General features: G+C 37.3%; 1 protein-coding gene across 10 annotated transcripts in view, besides 1 other annotated feature; it reads left to right on the top strand.

Annotated features, from left to right (window-relative positions):
* Positions 1-9,671: 9,671 nt before the first annotated feature.
* LNPK (lunapark, ER junction formation factor) overlaps positions 9,672-27,103 on the top strand; it is a 78,939-nt gene continuing 61,507 nt past the window's right edge. For 2 of the 10 annotated variants that reach the window (NM_030650.3, XM_005246878.5), the window contains exons 1-4: positions 10,225-10,332; positions 16,846-16,934; positions 19,269-19,310; positions 20,074-20,261. In NM_030650.3, the coding sequence (NP_085153.1) occupies positions 16,908-16,934; positions 19,269-19,310; positions 20,074-20,261 (257 nt within the window). In that variant the 5' untranslated portion in view covers positions 10,225-10,332; positions 16,846-16,907. Of the gene's footprint in view, positions 9,981-10,146; positions 10,333-16,845; positions 16,940-18,211; positions 18,359-19,268; positions 19,311-20,073; positions 20,262-27,103 lie in introns of those variants that run through there. The other 8 variants (NR_130941.2, XM_006712783.3, NM_001305009.1 and 5 more) reach the window with 8 other exon arrangements.
* Positions 9,812-10,031: an enhancer, noted in NCBI's record as "active region_16788". NCBI's record gives its function as "activates an Ori minimal core promoter by ATAC-STARR-seq in GM12878 lymphoblastoid cells {active_cell/tissue: GM12878}" and the evidence as "EXISTENCE:reporter gene assay evidence [ECO:0000049][PMID:35858748]".

The following is a 27,103-nucleotide window of genomic DNA, read 5'->3' as shown; positions in this document are numbered from 1 at the left end:
AGTGAGTCTATTTCTAGACTCACAAATATACAGCCAATTGATTTTTTTTTTTTCCTGAGATGGAGTCTTGCTTTGTCTCCTAGGCTGGAGTGCAGGGGTGATGATCTCGGCTCACTGCAACCTCCACCTCCCAGGTTCGAGTGATTCTCCTGCCTCAGCCTCCCTAGTAGCTGGGATTACAGGTGCATGCCACCACACCCCGCTAATTTTTTTTTTTTTTTTTGTATTTTTAGTAGAGACGGGGTTTCACTATGTAAGCCAAGATGATCTCAATTTCCTGACCTCGTGATCTGCCTGCCTCGGCCTCCCAAAGTACTGGGGTTACAGGCGTGAGCCACCACGCCCGGCCAGCCAACTGATTTTTGACAAAGATGCAAAGGCAATTCAATGGAAAAAGGACAGTCTTTTCAACAGATGGTGCAGAAACAGTTTGACATCCATATGCAAAGAAAATGAATGCTAACCCATACCTCATACCTTTAAAAAACCAACTCAAAATAACCATAAGACCTAAAAGCAAAATATTAAGGTAAAAACCTGTAGATTAAAACATAGGATAAAATATTTGTGATCTTGGGTTAGGTAAATATTTCTTAGATATGACACCAAAATTATAAATTTCCCTCATGAAAATTAAAAATTTTTACTGTTTGAAGACAATGTTAAATGAACAAACAGACAAACCACAGACCTGGAGAAATATTTGAAAATTAGATGTCTAAAAATTAATTAGTATTCAGAATATATAATGCTCAAAACCCTTTAATTAAGACAAATGATCCAATTTTCTTTTTTTAACTTTGTTTTTTAGAGACAGTATCTTGTTCTGTTGCCCAGGCTAGACTACAGTAGTGATCATGGTTCACTGCAGCCTCAGCCTCTTGGGCTCAAGCAGTCCTCCTACCTTGGCCTCCCAAAATGTTGGGAGTACAAGCATGCACCACTGCGCCTAGCCAAATGATCCAATTAAAAATAGGCAAATTACTGGGACAGACAATTTTATGAATACAGCCTATTGTAGGAATAAAGAGAAGTCTGGTCCACAAAGGTGGAGTCTGGAGATGATACAGGCCTTGAATATACTGTACAGGAATTTGGTCTTTATCTTGTAGGGAAATATTGGTTCTGATTTCAGTATTGCTATAGCATTGGGTATTTTCTGTAACATATGTATGTATAAAGAAAACTAGCGCTTTTGAATATATCTTCTAAGGGGAAGTTACTTTCACACTATAACTCAAAAAAATCAAACTTTTAAAATTATTCACAATTCAGCAGTATACAGATCTACATGGAATTTTATTTATATGTACATATCTTATAGACATATAATATGGCTTGAACAAGAAGTTTGGTCTAGTGCCTATTATTTGAGAAAACTATCTCTTAAGTTTTATAAGAAATGAGATGTATAGTTAGAATTTCCGGTTGTCTATTTTCAGAGGTTTGTCAAATCAGTCCTATATTCTATAATTCATATATTGGTTCATGTCTCACAGCAGCCTGAGCCTTTTTCTCCACCTCTCCCTTCAGTTTTTCCTCTTTCATCATTTTTAGAACTCTCATTTCACTCATCTCTTTTTCATTCTTTCTTCAAGCTTTTGCAAGATCTTTTTCCAAAAACCAGACATTTTTATAAGGCATCTTCTTGTACTCGGTCTTCCATTGGTGACCACTTTGTAAATCACCATGACTTAATATTTTTCCTGTTACCTACTGTCTGCACATGTTTCACTAAGCTCCTCAGGGCAGGAAATCTGTCTTTTATATTTTATGCTTTGTGAAATACCATGCACTCTTATGACTCCTATTAACAATAAATTTCAGTCTGAATTAGCTAAAGCTACATCTTCCTTATTTTATGTGTAAGCTTTACAGGCATTCTAGGGAAGACTCAAGTTTCACCAGCTACCTGATTTGTCATGTGTATCATTTATTTTTTAGGAAGCATTAGAATGTCACCTTTTGGAGTTACTGAGCACAAAGCCAAGAATGTATATTTTTAACCTACTTAGCTAATATATATATATTATCAGAATGAGAACTTTTTTTAATTGTAAGAAGGAATTGTTCTTCTCTTTTTTGATAACTAGATTGAGCTCACATGGAGTTTTGAGACAGGTATACATGCCAGGACACCTTGTGTTCTAATTTTAAATCATGCCTTTCAGACACAAACGGTCTCTGGATTTATGCATTATTTATGACAATAGAAATCTTTAATGTTAGACTTGAAAAATGTCAGTGTCGAAATACATTCAATATTTGCAGAGTTACTTCACAGAGATCTAGACTTTATTTTCTCTCTTTTTAAGTGGAACATGTGAACCACATTTAGCACACATTTATTTCAGGAGAGTGTGATGGATGGGTCCAAATCAGAAGTGAGCAAACAGAGGCTGAGAAGCCATGCTGCTCATTCTGCTCTTACTCCATGCTCTTGGCTTTTGGTGCTGTGTTTTTCCTCTATTTACTTCCTTCTTTTCCCAAGTACTATCTATCTTGTCTACCAAGCCCACTTTCAGGAGGTAGCTGATAGCAGCTCCAAGTACCATCTGCCTTATATATACAGCGTATGCATTTTTAGTCAAAATTCTAAAAGGTGAAACAATCTCAGCCACAGGATTTGAGTAGTGTGACCTTCATGGACTCATTCTACTTAAAGGCCTACCTGATGAGCTACCCAAAATATTTTTGCCTGATAAGATATATATTCGTTTTCTTTTCCTCCCATAACGTATTACCATAATTTACCAGCTTAAAATCACACTCATTTATTATCTCACAGTTCTGTAGGTCAGAAATCCAGGCACAGAGTGACTCAGCTAGCTCTCTGTGCTAGGTTTTACAAGGCTGCAATCAAGGTATTACTTACTTTGTTCCTTTCTGGAGGCTCTAAGGGAGAATCTGTTTCCTGCTCATTAGGTGGTTGACAGAATTTAGTTCCATGCACTTGTAGGACTGAGCTCTCCATTGCTTGCTATCTGTCAGCCAGGAGCCATTCTCAGCTTCTAGAAGCTACCTGCATTCCTTGGCCATTTTTTTTCAAAGTCAGCAACGATGCACCAAGCCTTTCTTTCTTTCTTTCTTTCTTTCGAGATGGAGTCTCGCTCTGTCACCCAGGCTGGAGTGCAGTGGTGTGATCTCAGCTCACTGCAACCTCTGCCTCCTGGGTTCAAGAGATCCTACTGCCTCAGCTTCCAAAGTAGCTGGGACCACAGGCATGTGCCACCACGCCCGGCTGATTTTTGTATTTTTGGTGGAGACAGGGTTTCACCGTATTACCCAGTGGAGACAAGGTTTCACCATGTTGCTGGTCTCGAACTCCTGAGCTCAAGCGATCTGCCCGCCTCAGCCTCCCAAAGTGCTGAGATTACAGGTGTGAGCCACCACGTGGTGGCATCAAGCCTTTTTATGATTTGAATGTCTCTGATCTTTCTGCCTCATCTTTTCTCAGCTTTTCTTTTTTGCCACATCTGACTGACTCCAGCTGAAGAAATTTCTCTTTTTATGAGGGCTCAATTGGTTAGACTGGGCCAACCAGATATCTACAATAATTTCCCTACTTTAAGATCTATAAATTTAATTACATCTGTACATTCTTAGCAGTGCCTAGATTAGTGTTTTACTGACTAGGGGTGGAAAACTTAGAGGGACTTTAGAATTCTGCCTCCTATAAGATACATGACCTATATAATGAAAATGATAAAATTTTTGGAAAACATATATGAGGACACTTGAATAAATGCAGATTACTGAAAGGAAAGGCTCATATAGAAGAATATTGTTTTCCCTGAAATTAATATACAAACAGAAATTTTAATAAAAATCCACATAGAGTTTTGGGGGTTCTTGACAACTTGATTCCAAAAACAAGAAGAATAAATGGGTAAAAAAGACAACTGAATAGGAAAAAGAAAGTGTATTCCCCAACTCATTTAATGAAGGTAGCTAGCATATTTTGATACCAAATTCAGAGAAAGACATTACCAAAAGGAAAATTACAGGTCAGTCTTATTTGTGAGATCCCCTGAAATCTTAAACAAAATGTGAGTATATTGAATCCAGCAACATACAAAAAAAGATAATAGACTAATGGAAAGAATACCAAGGTCAGAAACAACTCCATACTTATATGACTACTTGGTTCATGATCAAGATGGCACTGCAGGGTAGGGCAGAGAGGACCATCTTTCAACAAATGGTGCTAGTCTAATTTTCCACATGGAAGGGGTTGGGGATCTATATATGCCTCCCTTTCTCCATATGTAAGAACATTAATTGCAGGTCTGCCTAGACCAAAATTTAAAAAGCAAAGCAATAAAATTTTAGAAGACAATATAAAAGTCTTAATGATCTTAGGGTTGGAAAATATTTCTTAAATAGGATACAGATATCATTAATCATAAGGGAAGAGTGATGAATTCTACTCCACTGACAACTTGGTTTCATCAAAAGACATTAAGACAGTGAAAGTACAAGCCACAAAGTGGGAAAAACATTTGTAGCACATATAATCAATAAAACTTGTTTCAACATTATATAACAGATTAATACAAAAAGTAAGAAAAATACAAACAACCCAACAGAAAAATGGGGAAAGACCTAAACAATTAGACAACACTCATATAAAAAGGGGCTATTCTTCATTAAAAATCAGGGAAATGCAAAATAGAGCCACAATAAAACAGCATTACACATTCATTACAGTAATAAAACTTAAAATGTCTGACAATATCAAGTGTTGGTGAGGATGTAGTGCAACAGAAACTTTTGTATATTGTTGTTGGTTATATAAATTGGTACAATCATTTTGGAAAATTTTGGCACGATCTTGTAAAACTGAATATATTAATATATACATGCTCTACAAACCAGGAATTACATACCAAGGTAAAGACTCCAAAGAAATCTGTGTTTATATGCTCTAGAACATATATATATATATATATATACATTCACACACACACACACATATGTACTTAAAGAGAACATACATATGTGTGTGTGTTTACACAAACTTTCACAGCAGCATTGCTTATAATAGCCTAAAGCTAGAAATAGCCTATATGTCCATCAGCAGTAGAATAAATTATGATACACCAATGCAATATAGTAACCTACAGCAATGAAAATGAATAAACTACAGCCATATCAACATGGGTAAATCTTAAAGACAGATTGATCAAAAAAGTTCAAGACATGTAAATGAAAAACTCTGTGATTCCATTTACATAGAGCTCAAAAATAATATTGTTTAAGGATGAGTAATTAGGCAGTAAAACCAGAAAGAAAAACAAGAAAGTAAATATGGTAATAATCATGATGTGGCCATCTCTAGGCACTTGAAGGTTATAAGGGAAGGAGCACATTGGGGCCTTTTGGAGTGTTGAATGTTCTACTTTGGCCCATATGGGGTTACATGAGTGTGTTATCGTGCTCAATAGTATACTTCAGTTTTAGAAACTTTTCTGTATGCTTGCCATCACCAACAAATCATTCTAATCATTTCTTTTCTTCATATGTTCTGATTCTTCCTCTATTCCAAAGCATCTACAGTGTCTCAAAGAGACTTGGGATTGCTACAGCAAGACTACAAGAACAAATAATTGAAGGGGTTCAGAATAAGCTACCATGGCATAAAAGTTATTTTGAGCTGAAGGACTTGAGTTCCTGAAATCCCTTATGTGCCTAAAAGTAAAGCCTCCCAAAAGACCTCAATTGTAATAAATCCCCTCCTGGGGAGCAATTCTAATATTTTCTTCTCTGAGGAGACATCTGCACCACACCCAGACATTGCTACAAAACTATCGTATCTTCCATCTATTCTCCTAAAAGTCCATTTATCTTTCCAAAAAGTGTTTTGTTTTCTCTAAATGCTTTGTCTCTCCCTCACTTCCTTTGAAGAAGTCATTTACTCTCCTAGAAGGGCCTCTCTGCCCTTCTTTGTCCCCTATTAAGATGGTATATAAGCTCTAAATTCTAACCACCTAGGGTCAGTTATTTGTGAATTTCTCTTTCTTTCTCCCTCTCTCTGTGTGTGTGTACATATGTAATTAAATGTCTTTTTTCTCTTGCTATCTTTGTTGTTTTAATTTGCAGGCCCCCAAAGAGGAAACAAGAGAGCGCAGAGGAAAAGTTTTTCCTCCCTGACACAGCTCAGTCTTTAAAAACACTTCCAAAGTCGGTTCTCAAGAACAAAAAAGCCTTGTCAAGACTGAAACATAGCATTTGACCCAATTTCTCTCCCAGCTCTGGCCACAGAGATTGGCTGAAAAACACCTGAACCAGGAGTAAAAAGACAGGGTGCTGGAAATAACATTGAAAAAGATTTGGGGGCCAGGAGGGAACAATGGGCCTTGATAAGAATGGTGGAAAAAGAGACTATCTAAGTGGGCTGAGTGCCATGTCAGTGGACAGGGCAGAAGGCCTAGGTTAAGAGCTGTTATCATTGCAGACTGTGAGGGCTGCCTGCTGCCTAAATACGCATCACCCAGCAAGGGACATCCACTTTCCTCTGGGCTGCCCAGTGGGACGCGCAGAACATCTCTGTCAAAGATGAAGGGTGAGGTCTTGGACCACCTGACATGGTACCATGTTCCTTTTTCCATTCCTCACAACCCTTCTATCCCTATAGATTTAGTCTGCAGGGCCCGAGAATCTATATTTCAATAAGCACTGTGGTGACTCTTATGCAGGTAGCCTCTGGCACTGGCATACCACTTCCCAGAGAAACTCAGCAATAAGAAGAATCTCCAGTGGCATTTGTCAAAAAATCCACATTTCCAGGCCCCCTATACCAGACAAGTGAAATCAGAATCTCTAGGGGATGGGCCTGAGAATTTGAGTTTTTGATAAGGGACACTGGTGACTCTCAGAGAAGTCTGGGAAACTGCTCTAGTTTAAAATTCTGTTCTCAATATATTTTTATTTATTTTTTGAGACTGAGTTTTGCTCTTGTTGCCCAGGTTGGAGTGCAATGGTGACATCTCAGCTCACTGCAACCCTCTGGCTCCTGGGTTCAAGTGCGTCTAAATATGTTTAAAAACAAAACATCTTATTTACAATAAAGACATATGTATTTTGAAAAAATAAGTACCCTGCAGAAAACAAAAAATTGCAAATGGTAATATATATTTTTTTCTCCAGCCCAGTGCTGCAGACCTAAAGATTCCAATGTTTACATCTTCCCTTGAAGTCACAAAAATATCTTAAACTTAACGTGTTCAAATTGAAATTACCCTCTTCCCCCAAACCTGGCTCTCTTCCAGTGTCCTCCATATCTCAATGATGGCATTACTATCCACCCACTGGGTCTGCTAGAAATTCTGAGTTATCTGACTCCTCCCTCTCCCTCAGTCCCCATCCCACCCCATGATATTTGAATCCATCACCAAGACCTTCCACTTTACTTCCTATTGTTCCATTTCCCCCACTTCTGTCCATCTCCTTGTTCCTACCCCAAGCCACTTGCATGCCTACCAACACTAACACCACTCATAGATTTAATTAGTCCAGTGCTGGCTCTGCTTGTGTTCCCACACTGCAGCTGGAATGATCTTTTCAAAACACAGATCCAATCATGTCAAATGCCCTCCCCCTCCCTTTTTCTCTTAAGATTACAGTTCTTAATATGGCCAATAAGACTCTGCTTAATCTGGTCTCCAGCTTCAAACTGGTGCACTTTCTCCCTGCAACCTAGGCTCTAGCCACAATAGCCTCCTTTCAGTCCCTCAGGCTTGCAGTGTTCCCTTCTGACAAAAAGGCTTTACACATGATATTCCCTCTGTTTCCCACTCTCCCTTTTTCAGTTTCTCATCTTTTGGATCTCCATTCTGGTGTGACTTCCTCAAAGAAGCCTTACCTAACCTCTTTGACCATACCAATGAATGCCACTTATGTAAGTTCTTAAGTTCTCATAACACCTAGGTAAATTCAACCTATTTTAAACTAGACCATTTAAAACTCCATTGGTTAGAGCAATTTGTTTCCTCTCTCCAAGTATTCTCTGGTGTTCTTCTCTGTTGTTCTTTGGATTTCATTCTTTAGACCCTATCCCAGAACAATTTCAGGGTTAGTAGGGGATAACTCTTGACATTTGGACTCTGCTAAAGCAGCACCTTCACTGGCTTTCTCACATTCTCTCCGGCTGCTGTTTTCTTATCATTTTCCAATACCGTGAACATTAGCCTCTATCACAGCACTTATTTAGTCTGCATTGTATTTTTTTTAAGGTTTCTCTCACTAGTGTCAGCGGCTTTAGGACAGCTGGTTTATTTATCTCTGTATCCTCAGCACGTAACACAGGGCCTTGTCAATAAATATTTGGAACCACCCTGTAGCCTGAAGTCCAGCCACAATAGTGTGTATGTTGATTTCTCTGCTTGTAATGTCTTTCCCTCACTTTATTTGCTCGATGAACAACTATTCTTGATATGAAGGAGGCAGTGGCTTAGTGTTACCTTCAACAGTGTACATAATCTTTCTACATTTCAGTTTCCTCATTTGAAAAATGATACTAAAAAGGTTGTTGGGAGGATTAAAAGAGTTAATGATTAAATACTTCTCTCCCTTCTCTTTCCAGGTCAAATCTCTACTCTCGGTAGAGCAATTCCCTAGGGAATTTTATCTCAGGATTAGGTTTTTGGAATCTCGTGTATCCAGACAGCTCTTCTCTGTCCCCTTGCTACCCTTTTTTCAGAGGTGGGGTATCGCTTGGTAGCCCAGGCTGGAGTACAGACACTGATGGCTCAATTGAAACCAGAGGACACATTACTGGCAAGTGGAAAGCCGTTCTTCCCAGTCTTCTTAGGAAAGGAGATCTTTCTGCGGTGAGATATATTTGCAAAACTGCACAGGACTTTAATACTTTGCAACAGCAAAGGTTGAAAAACAAAACGGTTAAATTTCCACATCAAAACAGGTGAAATGTTTCTGTTCATTTTCTTCTACATTTGGAAAGTGCCTGATCCACAGTGACACGCTAAACTTCAGTTCCCTTCCCCTCATCCTTGCAAGTGTACAGAACTGTAACTAAATATTTAGGCAATTAGGGCAAGCAAATTGCACAGTGAATTATGCGGTAGCTTCTAGTATAATAAATTTTCTTACCAACCAAACAATGCTCAGTTGCTTCTCTTGACAACCTGTTTGCATCGTCAAAGTTTAAATGTAACATATTAAAACTATTACTCTTTAAAAAATCATTGAAACTTTTTTGTGTATAAATAAAAAAATAGAATAAAAATAAATAAAAAATAGAAAAAAACCCATGAAAAATGTTTGCACATGGGGTAAAGCATGTAAAAGGGGTAAAGCATGATAAAAACCTTCGCTGAAGTTTCCCTGCTCACACATTACTGTGTGCACGTCTAGTCTTTTTCTCATTCAGGCATCATTTGTTATTTGTCTTTTCCAGTTGAGGAGGACACTTAATACCGTTTCGGCAGCGTTTCAAATCCGAGTCAAATATAGCCTGAGTGGTTTTTTTGTGGGTCCACCTATCAGGGCCTGTGAAGAGTGTTCTTGGGGTTAAGAGTTCTAAGATAGAAAACTCAGCTTATGCTGTTACCCGCAGGTTTTAAAGCAACATGATACGGCGTTTGAAGCTTACCTCACACCGGTGAGGTAAGCGTCCAGTCATCAAATGACCCTTTTTGACGTCCAAGAGTGACAGAGCCTCAAGCACTCCTGGGGACCGGGCTGACTTTTCTCCACTGGCTTGGTTGGGAACTGGCTTCTTCGGAGCTGTGTAGTCTTAATTTGCTTTGCTGCTGGCTGGCTGACAGCTGATGGGGGACTCCTCAGGACGGACTCCCTTCCAGATGCACCCATCTCCATCCTTCTCAACTCCCCAACCTTTGTCCTCCCCACTCTTCGCTCGCGCGGCGGTCTGAGACCACCAGGACCAGTTTCAGGGGTTTCCTTCTCCAGCGAGACTTGGCAGAACAGGCTTTAAAAGCAAAGGAGGCAGCGGAAGAGTAAGAAATAACTATATTCTAAGAGTCATAATAAATGGCAGTACATAACTGCGACACGACACCGAGCAGCCTAAGCTGGCTGCGGAGGCCACAAACACAAGATCCTAACCTCCCGGCCGACCCGCCCCAACAACTACCCGCCCAGGGTACGGTCACGTGACGGGGGAGCGGCGCGCGCCGACCGCGGCGCCAATTGGCGAGCGGCTGGAGCGCGGGGTTTCATGGGAAGGAGTTGGCCCGGCTTGTCTCTCTGTCAGTGGCGGCTGCTGCCTGCTCTGGAGGCAGGCTGGGCGGTGGCGGCCGAGACTGGCGGGGGTGGACGCCCGGGCCGGGCTGCGCCCGCTTCTTGCAGGTAGAACGCTCAAGGCGAGGGCAGTTGGGAGGGCTCTGCAGCGGGGAGGCATGCTGAGCTGTGCCCCTGGGAAATAAGCTGCGGGTTCCCCGCTTGCCTCTCCTTGGTGCCCCCGCCTCCTGCCAAGTGGCCTAGAGCTCTGCGGCGGCTGCTAGTCAGGCTGCGCGGTGGTCCGCGCAGACCCAGGCTCGCCGCCTTGTTCCCTGGATTTCCCAGCACACTGGCAGTGGTGGCGCTGGAGTCTTGAAACCCTTGTTTCCCCTCTAGGGCTGGTAGTTTCTCCAGCTCGGTTCTAGGAGATTCCGGGTGGTGACTGGCTTGAGCCCCAGCTCTTTGGCCCACTTGTGTCGAGCTTATCTCGACACAGGTGGGGCAAAGAGGTCAGAAGGTCCCAAACTAGCATTTCCTACGCTCAGCTGTCCGCTTTGAGCGTTCTCTCCGCTTCTCTTTCTGAGTTGTGCGGAGGCTCCAAGAGTTAGAAAGACCAGAAGGGACTGAAAACTGTCAGTGTCATGCTGCCGGGCTCTAGCGTGTGGGCGTGGAGTACGTGCTACTTAGAGAAGAGACTCTCCAACCATTGTCCTTATTTCAGGGATGGTGGGCTGTGGGGTGGAGGGGAAGGGCGAAGGTGCATTGTATCAGAGGCGTGGTAGGAGGAGAAAAACAAATCTAAATTCCGTCAGTTCATAGTTTACGGATTGAGAAAGAGTTGAAATTGGTCAACTCAGCTTTGCTGATGGTGCTTTCACAGTACTAAGCAAGACCCGTGAATCACTGAGTTTTCCGTGTTCTGCTTTTCCCAGTTGGCCTCCGGTGTGTGTTGCTCGGTGTCTACTGTTTCCTCCTTTCTTTATGGCCTGGGTGTCAGCATTGACAAAATTGACTCTATTCAACAGCGGTTTGGTGGGTGTGAGTAAGCTTGGTTTCAGGAATATGTTCAAACTGGCAGGGAATGCTCATTTCTTTTCCTCAGCAGCCCCCAGAAGACCAAGTTGACTTTTAACACATTTTCTTAAACAGGAGTGGTGCGTTTAAATTAGAATTTTAAGGTTGTCTGTTATCTATTGAGATCAGCTCAGTAATGATGTTAGTAAACTTATATAGTGTTTATATGTTATATAAACAAGAAAATACAAGAAAAGGAGAAGTTATATGGCTATTAAAAATATATGACTTCACATAGAAACATTTATAATCAAATAGTAATTTTTTGGTGGTATTTAGTTCAGATGAAAATTGACTTACCATGAAAGCAAGCACTAATCATTATATATTAAGAGTGCTTAATATATAATAGAGGTGTACTTTTCATTAAAATTCTTTTTGAGGAGCAATAAATGTGGCTTGGGCTATTTCAGAATTGTCTTTTCAGTTAGGACATTTGAAAGTTAGAATTCTAGAATAAATCACCTTTACTCTTCAATTGTATAGTATAATATGTTATGGAGGTACTGTTGATGGTGATTAAATAGCTTATACTTAACTTTGGAATTTGATAAACATAGAACTTCCTTTGCTGTTTCCTTCAAAGACCTACAAGGTTATTTAATGGCAGAGTCTACAGAATTTTTTGCTCTATTTCTTATACTAGAGAAAATGAGAGCAATCTATTTTTGTAAAAATACAAACTAATATAATTTTCCAATTTTAGAATTATGAAATAGGTGCTTTCTTTATAAGAAGTTAGAAATGTGTTTCATATAAATACATGTGTTTTCTGGTAATAATAATGGCTACAATTAAGCAGTTACTACTATGTGTCGGACACTGTGCCAAATGATACATAATTTCATTTAATTTATACAACAATTCTATGAAGTGTAGATATTTTTACCATTTTGCAAATGCAATAACTGAGGCGTGCAGAGTTTAAGTAATCTGCTCAAGATTGCATAGCTAGTATGTGGTTGAGCCATATTTTGAATCCAGATCTATTTTATTGCATTATTTTAATGTGTCTTGGAGTGAGGTGAAAATTTAAGAAAAACATTTCCCAAGATTTAAAATTCTGACACCCAAACCTGAGTGTAAATAGCCATTAGTAGAAAACATTCAAATAAGGTGGTCATTATTGTTCATTGAAAAGCACATTTAGGTCGGGTGGGGTTGCTCACGCCTGTAATCTCAGCACTTTGGGAGGCCAAGGCAGGTGGATCACTTGAGGTCAGGAGTTCAAGACCAGCCTGGGCAACATGGGGAAACCCCGTCTCTACTAAAAACACAAAAATTAGTCGGGAGTGGTGGCATACACCTGTAATCCCAGCTACATGGGAGGCTGAGGCAGGAGAATCACTTGAACCCAGGAGGCGGTGGTTGCAGTGAGTTGAGATTGTGCCACTGCACTCCAGCCTGGGCAACAGACTGAGTGAGACTCAGTCTCAACAAAAAGAAAAACACACTTAGATGCACCCTGCTCTTAAGGTCATGACAGGTCCTGTTGTGGTATCAGATCAGAGTGGAAAGAAACACTCTGTACATGTTCATGGGAGAGTTCTTGGAGAAAAGTCACTTGAGGTTGAACCGTCTGTCCAATCCAGGGCAAGCAAATTGATTTATGCCTCAGAAGGAAATGCAAAGGTTATTCGGTTCCCATGTATTTTCCATGTATTTGAAAGAAAGGAGAGATGGATTAGAAAATAGCTACAACTACAGCAGTAAAAACAGTTTGTATTGAGCAATCACTATGTGCCAAGCACTGTTGTAAACAGGTTAGAATACATTAGGTCATTTAAGTCTTTCAACATTTAAGGGGGTCCTTAACTATCCCTCTTTTACAGATGAGGAAATTGAGTAGCAGATAGGTTAAGTAACTGATTTGTCCAAGATTTTACAGTAAGTGATGGGCCACAGGACTTGGAGTTAATATGTTTGGGTGGAAAGGAGAGCACCAGTGGTTGAATACAGAAGAGGTATGAAATTAAAGCTATGGAGAAATATTTGATTTAATTATTTAATTTTGTTGTGTTTTCACATCTGTTAGAAAGTACCACCTATTACATATGCATTACAGTAAAACAGTTCCTTTAATATCAGAATTTGATAGAAAAATTGCTGAAACTGTGCTGGTTGACTGTTCTTTGATTATGAACCTGAAAGCATGGATATGGCATTTAATGACTATCACTCTAATATTGTTTTAGAGTACAAATTTAAAAGCATAATCCCTTGCTTCAGGGGTCTTAGAGGCTAAGATGTAGATTGTTTCATTAATACCAAAACAATTCTTTAAGCAAATAATTGTCAAAATTGGTATAGTGATATTATGCATATATTTCATATTGTACTTACTTTAAAATTGACATGCAGTAAACAAATAAAGGCTGTGCTTGCAGACTTCTAGTACCAGTTCTGTCCCTAGCTGGAGCTACATGATTTTGGCAAATCATTTAACTTCTCTTTAATGCAGATTTAAACACTCAAATGTAATCAAATAAAGGAATTGGGTTACACAATACATTGTACTAATACTATTTCTTGTGCTTATTACTCACTTTTCATTTCAGTAGATTTGTTTACCAACAATTTGATAATGTCAGAGGTGGTTTCATATATTTTACATATAAATATTCAAATCTAATCTATACAAAGCAGACTTTATTTCTGATTTTGTGTTATTCATAATAACTGGGTGCTTAAAAAATCAAAACTAAAATATTATGTTTGGCTCTGCTGCTTACTGCCTTTTTTTTTCTTTTCTTCTTTTTTTTTTTTTTTTGTGAGACGGAGTCTCGCTCTGTGACCCAGGCTGGAGTGCAGTGGCGCGATCTTGGCTCACTGCAACCTCCGCCTCCTGGGTTCAAGCAATTCTCTGCCTCAGCCTCCCGAGTAGCTGGGATTATAGGCACCTGCCACCACGCCTGGCTAATTTTTATAGTTTTTTAGTAGAGACGGGGTTTCACCATCTTGGCCAGGCTGGTCTTGAACTCTTGACCTTGTGATCCACCCGCCTCGGCCTCCCAAAGTGTTGGGATTACAGGCGTGAGCCACCGCACCCGGCCTGCTTACTGTCTTTGGGATGTTACTTAGCACACTACTTCACTTCTCTTGCCTTAGATTTCTCATTTGTAAAATGGAGGGATAGTAGTATCTAAATGCTAAAATTAATATAAAGTATTTGGGCCGGGCGTGGTGCCTCATGCCTATAATCCCCAGCACTTTGAGAGACCAAGGTGGGCAGATCACTTGAGGCCAGGAGTTCGAGACCAACCTGGCAAACGAGGTGAAATTCCTGTCTCTACCAAAAAAAAAAAAAAATTAGCCGGGTGTGGTGGCCCATGCCTATAGTCCCAGCTACACCTTTGGAGACTGAGATGGGAGAATTGCTTTAACGCTGGAGATGGAGGTTGTATTGAGCCAAGATCGCACCACTGCACTCCAGCCTGGGTGTCAGTGAGACCCTGTCTCAAAAAAAAATTATATTTATACACACACACACACACACACACACACACACAGAGCATTTGTTTTAGGGCCGCTAGAAATGAAGTACTTACTAAGTGTTTAACTGATATTGTTGGTGCCATTAATTTCAAATATTAAAAATTCTGATCACAGTCTTAGGGTGTGATGGTTAGAAACTTGACATTGAAGGATATAATTCTACTTCAAACCAAAATATGTAGGTTGGTTGTGTACAGAACACTGCTAGACACCATACACTAGTTCCAGAATAGTGGAATGATGTATATTTTGAGAATAACAAGTGATTCATATGAATCTACCCCCTTCACCCACCTTTTTGGTAGTTATTTTTAGCATCTCAAGAGGGTTTTTAGATTTACTTACTGTCATAATTCAGATAGAAATTTATAGTTTAATCATTAAAGTTCCTGGATTTTCTACAACCACATTTTAGAAATTTGAGTACTAAGCAAATACTAAATGATTAATAATATTTAGATTGCAACTTAAATAAGACTTGAAACATTCATTATAGTTATAAACCTTAGAGTTTTTCAGGACAGATTATAGGTGTTTCTGTCCTTAAAAATTACTTTGTGAGTAAAAGTATTTTACAGTTAGGCACTTTGTTACTTTTCTGAGAAACTCCAAGATAGCTATGCCTTATGCTAATTACAATATATGAATAATTTTGCAGAGTGAGTGTGCTTACTTGATACTGGTATTATTTTGTGTTTACGTTTATGGTTAAAAAATATGAGAAGTGTGACATAGGTAACCTTTTTGGGGGTGGAAAAGAAGTAGTTTTATACATTGGCAAGTATCTAACTGTAACCTGGTTAAAATATGTCAGTTTGAAATTATACTTTTACCATTTCAACTTAAAAGAATAAAAATTTGTGTAATCATTGTCCAGTAAGTTGATTTAGAATATAATATTGTTGAGTCTATTATAAAACATTCGAGAGTCATAGAAAAGCAACTGAAAGAAGTGGTTATGGAGCTAGCTGAATTGAAGGTCAACTAGCTTCAGGGACTTGTATACAATGTCAGGGAGAAATGTTTATTTGGGCATTGAACAGAAGTGTTTAGTAATAGAGGCTAGAAATCTGAAGATAAAGGGACTCTAGGCCATATTTCTTCTGAGCTATTGGGCAAATCACTAAACCTCTTTTCACTTAGTTTTCTTATCTGTGAGATGGTAATACTATAGACTATCCTGTGAGAAAGTGGTTGTATTATTAACTAATTAAGAGAAAAGAAAATTAAGGCTTAGAATCATTAAGTGATTTGCTAAAGGTCACAGATAACCTTGTAATCCTTATTTTCTTATTCATAACTCAGCTGGCTTTCTCTTATTACTTGTAAGGTGATATTCTAAACATTGTAAAACACTTCTATTCCAGATAACTAGTTTAGTTGGGAGACAGCTGGATAGTAGAAATTATTTAAGTGTATAGTATGAAAGTAGTATGGTAAAACTTTGTTACCAGAACAACATAGAGAACCTATTTTAAAGGATAGAAAATTGCAAAGTGGTAAGAATATACATTTCTAAACTGCATTGTCATTTAAAAAGCTTTTCAAACTTTTTCACTTTTAGATCTGTTCTGGTTTTGAAGAATGGATTTTTAAAAGGTGGGCTTGGTGGTGTGCGATGGCTCACGCCTATAATCCCAGCAGTTTAGGAGGCCAAGGCGGGCAGATCACTTGAGGCCAGGAGTTCAAGACCAGCCTGGCCAACATAGCAAAACCCCGTCTCTACCAAGAATACAAAAATTAGCCAGGCATAGTGGTGCGCACCTGTAGTCCCAGCTACTCAGGAGGCTGAGCCACAAGAATCGCTTAACCCGGGAGGCAGAAGTTGCAGTGAGTTGAGATCTCGCCACTGCACTCCAGCCTGGGCAACACAGAGAGTCTCCATCTCAAAAAAAAAAAAAAAAAAAAAAAAAAAGGTAGACTCTATCCCAATAACTGTCTGAAATCAAATTCCATATATGTGGCATCCAAATAAATTAATATTTCATAACATTTTTTAGGCAGTATTGCAACATCTATAGTGGGTATGCTGTGTGTTTAACTTAACATTTTAAATACTTGCTTTATTTCTAGCTGTGAATTCCTTTGGACAATTGATGATATTTATCATTGTGCCCAGTTTCTACAAATAAAAGATGGGTGGATTATTTTCTCGATGGAGGGTAAGGTACTTTTCTTTACAGCTAGTTCTTGAGTCTAATATAAAAGTGTCACATAAAGCTATTTGTGAAAGTCTCCTTTGATTATAGCCTTGAATAGTAGTTTGCTATTTTCCTTAACTTTTTTCTTCTCTTTTGAATTACTTTTCTATTTTTTTATTTTAATACTTCCATTTGTTCTGTAGGTGTCCAATGCCTCTGTTTAACAGAATTATTTCACTTGGATGTATGAATTATTTTTATTTCTGTATTTCTGTATTTGTGTGCAAATGGCTATCTTGTTTTCTTATACTTCCTAAGTTTCAAGCTTATTTGAAAGGTAGTTGAAAGTAAGTATTCTAGGCCGGGTGTGGTGGCTCACATCTATAATCCCAGCACTTTGGGAGGCTGAGGCGGGCAGATCATGAGTTCAGGAGTTCAAGACCAGCCTGGCCAACATGGTGAAACCCCGTCTCTACTAAAAATACAAAAATTAGCTGGGCGTAGTGTTGCGCGCCTGTAATCCCAGCTACTCGGGAGGCTGAGACAGGAGAATGGCTTGAACCCAGGAGGTGGAGGTTGCAGTGAGCCAAGCTTGTGCCCCTGCACTCCAGCCTGGGTGACGGAGCAAGACTCAGTCTCACAAAAAAAAAAAAAAAAAAAAAAATTCTATACAAGACTTGTTTTTTACAGACTGTATCTTTTTACTTGAAGCTTATCATAAATATTGACTAAAGTCACACTGCCTGTGCTTTTAGAAATTATAGGTTAAACAAAATTAGAAATGCAGTTTGATTTTATTGGATAAGCTTTTAGAGGAAGTATCTCAAAGTTACAGCTCGAAAATATGAATTGTATAAATTATATAACCCCGTCTCTACTAAAAATACAAAAATTAGCTGGGCATGGTGGTGGGCGCCTGCAATCCCAGCTACGCGGGAGGCTGAGGCAGGATCGCTTCCATCCAGGAGGTGAAGGTTGCAGTGAGCCGAGATTGTGCCACTGCACTCCAGCCTGGGCGACAGAGCTAGACTCTGTCTCAAGAAAAAGAAAAAAAAATTATATAAATGCTCTTTTCAAAAGTAAGAGGAGATAAGGTAGTCTAGGATAAACTACTTATTTTTTTTTACTCCTTATTACCATAATAATAGAGTCTAACTATACTTGGTACACAATTTAGGTTTTGGGGTATTGCTGGAACAGCCTTGTTTTGGATCAGCATTATATTGACCCTGTTATGACCTTATAATAATCTGCCCAAGGATCAAATTTATCTCTTCTTGTTTTGTCTTTCATAATAGGTTGAACCATATGAAATTGCCAGTATTCAACTGCTTGGACTTAGCAAAATGTCAGTTTCATATGGTTAACCCTAATGTTAACAACTCTTATGGAAACTACAATGAACTGATATTCATTACCCTCTTGGATTGTTGAGTATGTAATTGGTAAATATTTTTTCAAGTGTTTTATGAGTGATTTTGGCTGGTTTTCATTCTAGATGTATAAAAAATATCATTGGCAAACAAGCTTTGCTATAATGAAGTATTCTTAGATGTCCTTTTAAAATCTGATCTGCAAAAAGTACTTTAGGAATTTAGAAAGAAGATAACCTGTTGATTTTGACCTCCAGAGTCTTAAGTGAACTTTTAGCAATAGCAAATCAGACCATTTTTAGTCTGTAATTTTTTTCAATGTGTTAATTCTTTTGAGTAATCATTCCTAAGAATTTTTTTTGGAGGAAAACGTGTGTTTTTTAAATTTTTTAATTTAATTTAATTTTTTTTTTGAGATGGAGTCTTGCTCTGTCACCCAGGCTGGAGTGCAGTGGTGCGATCTCGGCTCACTGCAACCTCTGGCTCCCGGGTTCAATCAATTCTCGTGCCTCAGCCTCCTGAGTAGCTGGGATTGCAAGCGCATGCCACCACGCCCAGCTAATTTTTGGATTTTTAGTAGACCAGTTGGCGAAGCTGGTCTCAAACTCCTGACCCTAAGTGATCCGCCCACCTTGGCCTCCCAAAGTGCAGGCGTGAGCCACCGTGCGTGGCCAAAATTTGTTTCTTTCTAGAACGGTGTGTTCTATTGAGGTTAAGAATGGTAAAAATTGAGCTATCAGAATTAAAAGTCTTTCTAGGATTAAAACAGTTAAGTAGGGAAATGCTTATTTCTTTAATCTTACGTAGTTCTATTTGCAATTATAATTTTTATTTAAATAAATCTTAGTTATAAACAAGAATGCATATTTGACAAGATTTGAGAAAATTTAATTTTGAAATAAATGTTCTTTAATGATTATATCAAAATGTAAAGGTTTGTGATAAGTTTTAATGCTGTCTCTTGTTTCTGTTTGTATAACAGACAAAACCTTCAACTGTAGAAGTTCTAGAAAGTATAGATAAGGTATGTTCTTTGGCTGTGAGGTATTTTAATTCATTTTAGGTATTAAGTAAATATTATTGTAGTATATATTATTTTGGAGACCAAATCTGGTATGGGAATTTAGAAATGATATAGAGTGAGTCTGAGAACTTTAATATTATGTGATCTCAAAAAATCCAAAGTCTATCCGTGACTTAAGAAGTCTGTTTCAAGTAATAGAGCCAGTTAGAATGAAATTAGATCTGTAGTGTGGTGTAAATCAGTGTTACAGGTAGGACAAAATAGATGAGATACTGTACAATAGTTTTTATCAGTCTACAAAATTTTCACAGCTTTTTATATACTATTATCAAAAATGATTATTTTCTGGGAATATTGAGAGTGATAAATAGATGGGTTACTGTTTTAATTTTTATTAATTATTTTTCTTATTGCCAGATTTTTTAAATGCCTTTTATAGGAGGAATTATTACTTATTTGACTCAACAAATATTATTGCCGATACCAATTTCATTCCCTGAATCTTTGCCAATTTGATAGTTTAAAAATAGTAACTAACTTTGCATTGTAAAAATGATGTTAGAATAAGCATTATACATTTTTAACTTCATTTTTAGTTTTCTTTTTCATATTATGTTTTGTTTTAAACTGTTAGAATATTATGCTTTACTGAACTTTAAATAAGAGTTTTTTCTTAAATATCTTTCCTGCTAAAATTTTTTAACATTTTAATTTCTTTATGAAGTTTGAAATTTACTAACATGGAATAATTTTCTCTTAACAGGAAATTCAAGCATTGGAAGAATTTAGGGAAAAAAATCAGAGATTACAAAAATTATGGGTTGGAAGATTAATTCTGTATTCCTCAGTTCTCTATCTGTTTACATGCTTAATTGTATATTTGTGGTATCTTCCTGATGAATTTACAGCAAGACTTGCCATGACACTCCCATTTTTTGCTTTTCCATTGATGTAAGTAAATTATTCTTTTTGTTGATCTTTTCCTTTTCTGACTAGAGAGTCTTAATGTATATCTAATATGTATATTCGGTCTCTTTATTATTAAATGGTAATATCTGATTGAGTTTGAATTTCTTTCACAATTTGAAAAGATTTTTTTAGTAGAACAATTGTTCTAAACCTTCATTTGTAATCCAATATACCTGAGGAATATTACCTAGTAATATGAGTAATAATTGCTCTATATGGCAATGTTTTATGATTTTCTAGTAGATGACCATGCTCCCCGAAGGGCACTGGGCATGGAGTAGTGGGTAATGGCAAGTGGGGCAGGGTTTGTAAAAACGAAAGAATAACTGCTCAAATTATTCTGAATATATTCACCTCAACTCTCTTCCCTTCGTTTTACTGCTATATGGTCACTGCTATAAAGCAATTGACCCTTATTTTAGAAATATTTTATAATATAGCACTGTATAGGAGGCGTATCATGACTGAGAATTTTGAGAGACAATTTAATAAAAAGTTTGTTTATTCAGTCAACAAGCATTTATGGGTACCAGTTGTTTAGACATTGGATTATAATGGTGTATGGTACATAAAAATACAAAATTCTCTGACTGTATATCTTAGACTGCAAACATTAAGTAATGAGTATGATGAATGTTATAAACAGAAGTGTAAAATGCTATGGGAGCATTTAATAGGGGCATTGCCTCAGTCTGAATACTACTATAAAAAAATGTGTTTGTTTAGTCTTTAGTGCAGGGCATATTTTCAATTTGAAACTCCTGAAGCTTGTAAAATTATAAGTTCGTATGTAGCTACAAGAGCTGAAATTGAGTGCTTTCATAATATTGCAAAATAATTATCTCTGCTACTTTCTTTATTTTCATTTTTTGAAATCTTTTGGAATGCTTTTATCCCAGAAGTAGTGGATTTTATAATTGTGAGCCCCTTTTCCTTGTTTCCCTTATCTTTTTTCATAAGAGGAGAGGAAAGAAAATTACAAAATAAGTATGAGATGTTTAGTAAATTTAAGCACTTTTAAATACTCAAAAATGCACTTTACATATATTTCCATATAAAGATTGATTTTTTGATCATAAAAGACTTGTATCTAGTTGTAACAGAATGTCTGATAGGGAACTCTACTGTGTTAATTCTAATGGCTATCCAAAAACTATGATCTAGGTTTGCTATTATGATTCATAACAGTTTTTTGGGGGGCAAATAAATTATATACTAATTGTTCTTTAGAAGCAGGAAAACTTCATTTCTTTAAAAATGTAATTTCTTCAATTCAGTCTTTCTGATATTTTGGGTATGAAGCTTTCTTATCCTTACTGTGTCCTTCTGATTTTTCTGCATCACCTGCATCTAGTATATCTTGGCTTGTTTAGCTTCAGAGCCATTTTTCACTTCATCTCATTGATATTTGTAACCTCGTTCTCAGCTGTTGTAGCTTCTATTTCAGTGAGCTTTTCACTTTTTGAAGCACAGACCGGTTATCCAACAAAGAATAGCATTGTCCTTCTGATCAATGACAATCAAAAAACATGAAATAAAACAATGTGAAAGTGGATGTTGTGGTAAAAAGAAAGAAGACTTAACACAGGACATTTTCTTATGTATGTAATGTGAGTTTTTGCCTTTTGTGTGTAATGTGAGCTTATCCCTGGACTTTTTTCTTTGGGAAACAGTGTCTTAGTCTGTTTAGTGTTGCTATAAAGGAATACCTGAGGCTGGGTAGTTTATAAAGAAATGAGGTTTATTTGGCTCATGGTTCTGCAGACTGTACAAGAAGTATGGCACCAGCATCTGCATCTGGTGAGGGCCTCAGGCTGCTTCATTCTTGGCAGAAGGTGACAGGGAGCCAGCATATGCAGAGATCACTTGGTGAGAGAGAAAGCAAGAGATAGGGGAGGTGCCAGTTTCTTTTTAACAGCCAGCTCTCTCAGGAACTAATAGAGGGCAAACTCTCGCCATGCCCCAGGGAGGACATTCATCTGTTCATGAGATCCGCCCCCATGACCCAAACAACTCCCATTAGGCCCCACCTCCAACACTGGGGGACAAATTTCAACATGAGGTTTAGAGGGTCAAATATCCAAATTATAGCAAACAGTTTTGAGGGCTGGACTCGGATTTACTTAAAGACTTAGAGGCAAAAGGGGCAATAAAGTATGTTGTTTTGCTCAACACTGTGTACATTGATTATATAGTTTAGAAATCTACCTGGTATCTGTAAAAAGTGACTGCTGTCTACACATTCCCAGTTTCCCAAATGCTTTTACTGGAAAGGTCATGGATCAGGACTGAACATATATTGTATAACTATTCCAAAATTATTCTTTATGGTAGAATATCAATACTCTAATATCCTTTGAAATTTTATTATATTTTCACTTCAGAATGTAATATGGAGGAGTTTAATATAATTCCACATACTGTTTTTTGGCCTTTCAGATTCAATAGTATATTTACCTCCCTTGATCTTTTCAACTATTACTGAAACTTAAATCATAATATAAATGCCAAATTTATTTTGTAGGAGTCATTAAGGCTACACACCGTAGTGAGGGAAGGTTTGGGTTACGTAAAGTTACAATTTTGTATTTCTGCATTATGCTAGCAAACATGCATTACCTTGGGAGTTGGTTCATTTTCTAAGTCAGCAACCATTAAGTTTTATTTCTATGTTAACTAATGCTTTAACTAATGCTTAGTTAACTATGTTAACTAAGTAAAAGTCTTGTAGACTTTTACTTTCGGATACCTTATTTTTACGAATTATAACTTTCTAGACATTTCATTCTCTGTAATTTTAGAGACTGATCATCATCATAAGATATTGAGGAGTTAGCCATAATTTTTTTATTTGTTTTTGCCTCTCAAAATGGGGTTGTTGGGGAAGAAATTTAAGCAAGGGAATTGAGGAAAGTGGTCATATTCCTATTTCTCTTCTTGTATCTCCACTTAAATTGAAAACCATTTAAGGATAGGGATTTGTTCTTATACAATTTTCATGCCTCCTCTCTCTCCCCACAAGTAGCACATGTTAGGTATTTCCTCAATCCAGCTAGGTTGACAAACATAATTTGTAACCTTTTGAAGAAAGTTAAATGTTTATTTCATGATACACTAGTAAGAATACAAGTGTCTTTCAGCCAGGCGTGGTGGCTCACGCCTGTAATCCCAGCACTTTGGGAGGCCCAGGCGGGCGGATCACGAGATCAGGAGATCGGGACCATCCTGGCTAACACGGTAAAACCCCATCTCTACTAAAAATACAAAAAAAATTAGCCCAGCACGGTGGTGGGCTCCTGTAGTCCCAGCTACTTGGGAGACTGAGGCAGGAGAATGGCGTGAACCCGGGAGGCAGAGCTTACAGTGAGCCGAGGTCACGCCACTGCACTCCAGCCTGGGCGACAGACTCAAAAATAACCTCAAAAGGAATTTTTAGATATGGCTTTTATATATAATAAAGAAGACATTTGGAAGGAAAAATGGTTTTGAGTTGTATGCCCCAAAAAACAAAAGCAAGAAATACTTGATTCTTATTTTTTACACCAAAATAAATCATTGTTACTATTTTGCCTAAACATGAAGGTAATTATTGCTGAAGTCTTTGGTGGTTAAATAAGCTGACAAAGAAGTCAACATAGTTATAAATATTAAGACCTGTATATAAATTCATCTTTAGCTTTTTTTTTTTTTTTTTTTTTTTGGAGACAGAGTCTTACTCTGTTGCCCAGGCTGGAGTGTAATGGTGCACTCTTGCCTCACTGCATCCTCTGCCTCCCAGGCTCAAGCAATTCTTGTGCCTCAGCTTCCTGAGTAGTGGGGATTATACGCATTCACCACCATCCCTATCTAATTTTTGTTTTTTGTTTTTTTTTTAGTAGAGATGGGGTGTCAGCATGTTGACCAGGCTGGTCTCAAACTCTTGGCCTCAAGTGATCTGCCCATCTCAGCCTCACAAAGTGTTGGTATTACAGGCATGAGCCACCACGCCCAGCTCATCGTTAGATTTATATATTGCTAAATCTCATCTAAAAACATTTTGATAAATTGGATAGGGCTTATGATATGGTTGTTTGAAAAAGAACACTTAAGTTTGGCAGAAAGGGTGAAAGAGGTAACAAAATAATGTTGCATATATGAAGGTTGGTGAAAAACCACCAGGTTTATAGAATGTTAATTCTTTACCCAAAGTAAGGAAGGTTTAGTTATATTGATTGAATTGAGATATTCTGCTATATTTCAACTTTTAGCATTTTTAGTTTGAGTACAGTAAAACACTGAATATTGAGCTTTTAAAATGTTTACGCTGTCCTCTGTGTGATTCTATTATATTGAAGTTCCAAGTATTTCCTGCTAGGACACATATTTTTTTAGTTCCAGTCATTAGATATTACTGAACAAAAATTCATGCTGTAGTAATATTCCAAGTAGCATTAATTTCATTCAGAAAAGAACAACAAATGCTTTGATGAATGTGAGTCAAAGAAATTTTTTATTTCTCAACTGATTGTATATAGGAATGTAGTGATTTTTTTTTTTTTAATTATACTTTAAGTTTTAGGGTACATGTGCACAATGTGCAGGTTTGTTACATATGTTTACACGTGCCATGTTGGTGTGCTGCACCCATTAACTCGTCATTTAACATTAGGTATATCTCCTAATGCTATCCCTCCCTGCTCCCCCCACCCCACAACAGGCCCTGGTGTGTGATGTTTCCCTTCCTGTGTCCATGTGTTCTCATTGTTCAATTCCCACCTATGAGTGAGAACATGCGGTGTTTGGTTTTTTGTCCTTGCGATAGTTTGCTAAGAATGATGGTTTCCAGTTTCATCCATGTCCATACAAAGGACATGAACTCATCATTTTTTATGGCTGCATAGTATTCCGTGGTGTATATGTGCCACATTTTCTTAGTCCAGTCTATCATTGTTGGACAAATGGGTTGGTTCCAAGTCTTTGCTATTGTGAATAGTGCCACAATAAACATACGTGTGCTTGTGTCTTTATAGCAGCATGATTTACAATCCTTTGGGTATATACCCAGTAATGGGATGGCTGGGTCAAATGGTATTTCTAGTGATTTTCTATACTAATTTTATATTCAACTACAATAATAGTCTTATTGTTTGTAATAATTTTTTTGGTTGATTCTTTGAGAGCTTCCAAGTATGCAATCATATAATCTGTAAATAGCAATAATTTTACCACCTCCTTTTGTTTTTTTCGTTTGTTTTTTTTTTTTCTTGTTTGATATTTTTTATTTTTTTTCTCTTGGCTAATTATGTTAGCTAATACCTTCAGGACAATGTTAAGTTGTAGAGAAAATAGTGGACATACTTGATGTGTTTTTTTGGGAATTCTTCTAATGTTTCACCATTGGGCATTATTCTGACTTTTGGATTGAGACAGATATATTTGATCATGTTAAGGAATTTTCTACCTGTTCTTACTGTATTTAGTTTTTTTTAATCAAGAAAGGTTGTTGAATGTTGTTAAATACAGTTCATTATCTATGGAGATACCATATGATTTTTCATCTTCTCTTGATACAAAGGGATTATATTAAATATTGAATCATTCTTGAATTCCAGGAAAAATTTCTGCTTTCAGTTTTGTGATCATTTTATAAAAACATCCAAAAACTTTTCTTTATTTTCATTCTTTATTTGTTGAAACAATAACACTGTACATGTTTTTGAAACTATGACATTTTCTGACCACTGCTTTAGTTTTATGCCATGGGTCTTGATACATAGTGATTTATTTTGGTTATTTTCAAGATATGATGTTTTTTTGGAGGGAGTTATAATCTATCAGTTATTTATGGATGGCAAATATATATTTATATTTTTATTTATTGTCTTAGTTAAAATTTCTAGTTTTATTGTATTGCTCTCAGAGAATGTTAAATATTTCTGATTTAAGTTTATTGAGTTTTTTTGGTGGAATGTTATTTGGCCAATTTTTTAAGTGTTTCATGAACATTTGAAGATGTATTCTCTTTTTTCAGTTATACAGAGTTGAATATTAGCAATGAGAACTACCTTATGCTATATAGATCTTCTACATCCTAATAACAGTGTATTTCTGCTTTTCCCCGTATTTCTTCTAGTTTTGCTTTACAAATGTTGATGCTTTGCTCTTTACATGGGTATTTCTGTTATATCTTCGTTAGAAACACATCCTTTAAGAAGAATTTTTAATTTTGAAAAAATTATAGATTAACAGTAAGTTGCAGAAAAAAATGTACAGGCAGGTTGCAGGTACCCTCACCTAGCTCACCCCAATGGTAACATCTATATGGTAGTTTTTCCTTCATCCATAGTTTTGCCCTCTGCAGTTTCAGTTAACTGTGGTCAATTGCAGTCTGAAAATATTAGTTTTTCGAGAGAGACTACATTCATATAACTTTTATTGCAGTATAGTTATACTTGTTCTATTTTATTATTAGTTATTTTTGTTAATCTCTTACTATGCCTAATTTATAAATTAAATCCCTATACCTACATGGTATGTATTTATAGGAAAAAACTTAGTATATGTTGGATTTGGTACTGTCCATGGTTTCAGGCATCCACTGGGGGTCATGGAACATATATCACTGAGATTAAGGGAGAACTACTGTAGTAAATTTCTAGTTAGCCTGGAAAACGGGAAGATATGCCTTTATACCAACACGACCTATAAATAACTGACCCAAAGTGAATGTACCACAAAGTAAAAGGTTTTAATTAATTATAAAAACCAAAAGCAAAAAAAGTTGTTTCAAAACAGACCAACGTCTTTCATATCAACAAATATTAAGCCAGGAAATTGACATTGCT

Source organism: Homo sapiens, chromosome 2 (genome assembly GCF_000001405.40).
Source record: "Homo sapiens chromosome 2, GRCh38.p14 Primary Assembly".
Lineage (NCBI taxonomy): Eukaryota > Metazoa > Chordata > Mammalia > Primates > Hominidae > Homo > Homo sapiens.
Note: the sequence above shows the minus strand (reverse complement) of the source record. Positions and strands in the feature narration are given on the sequence as shown.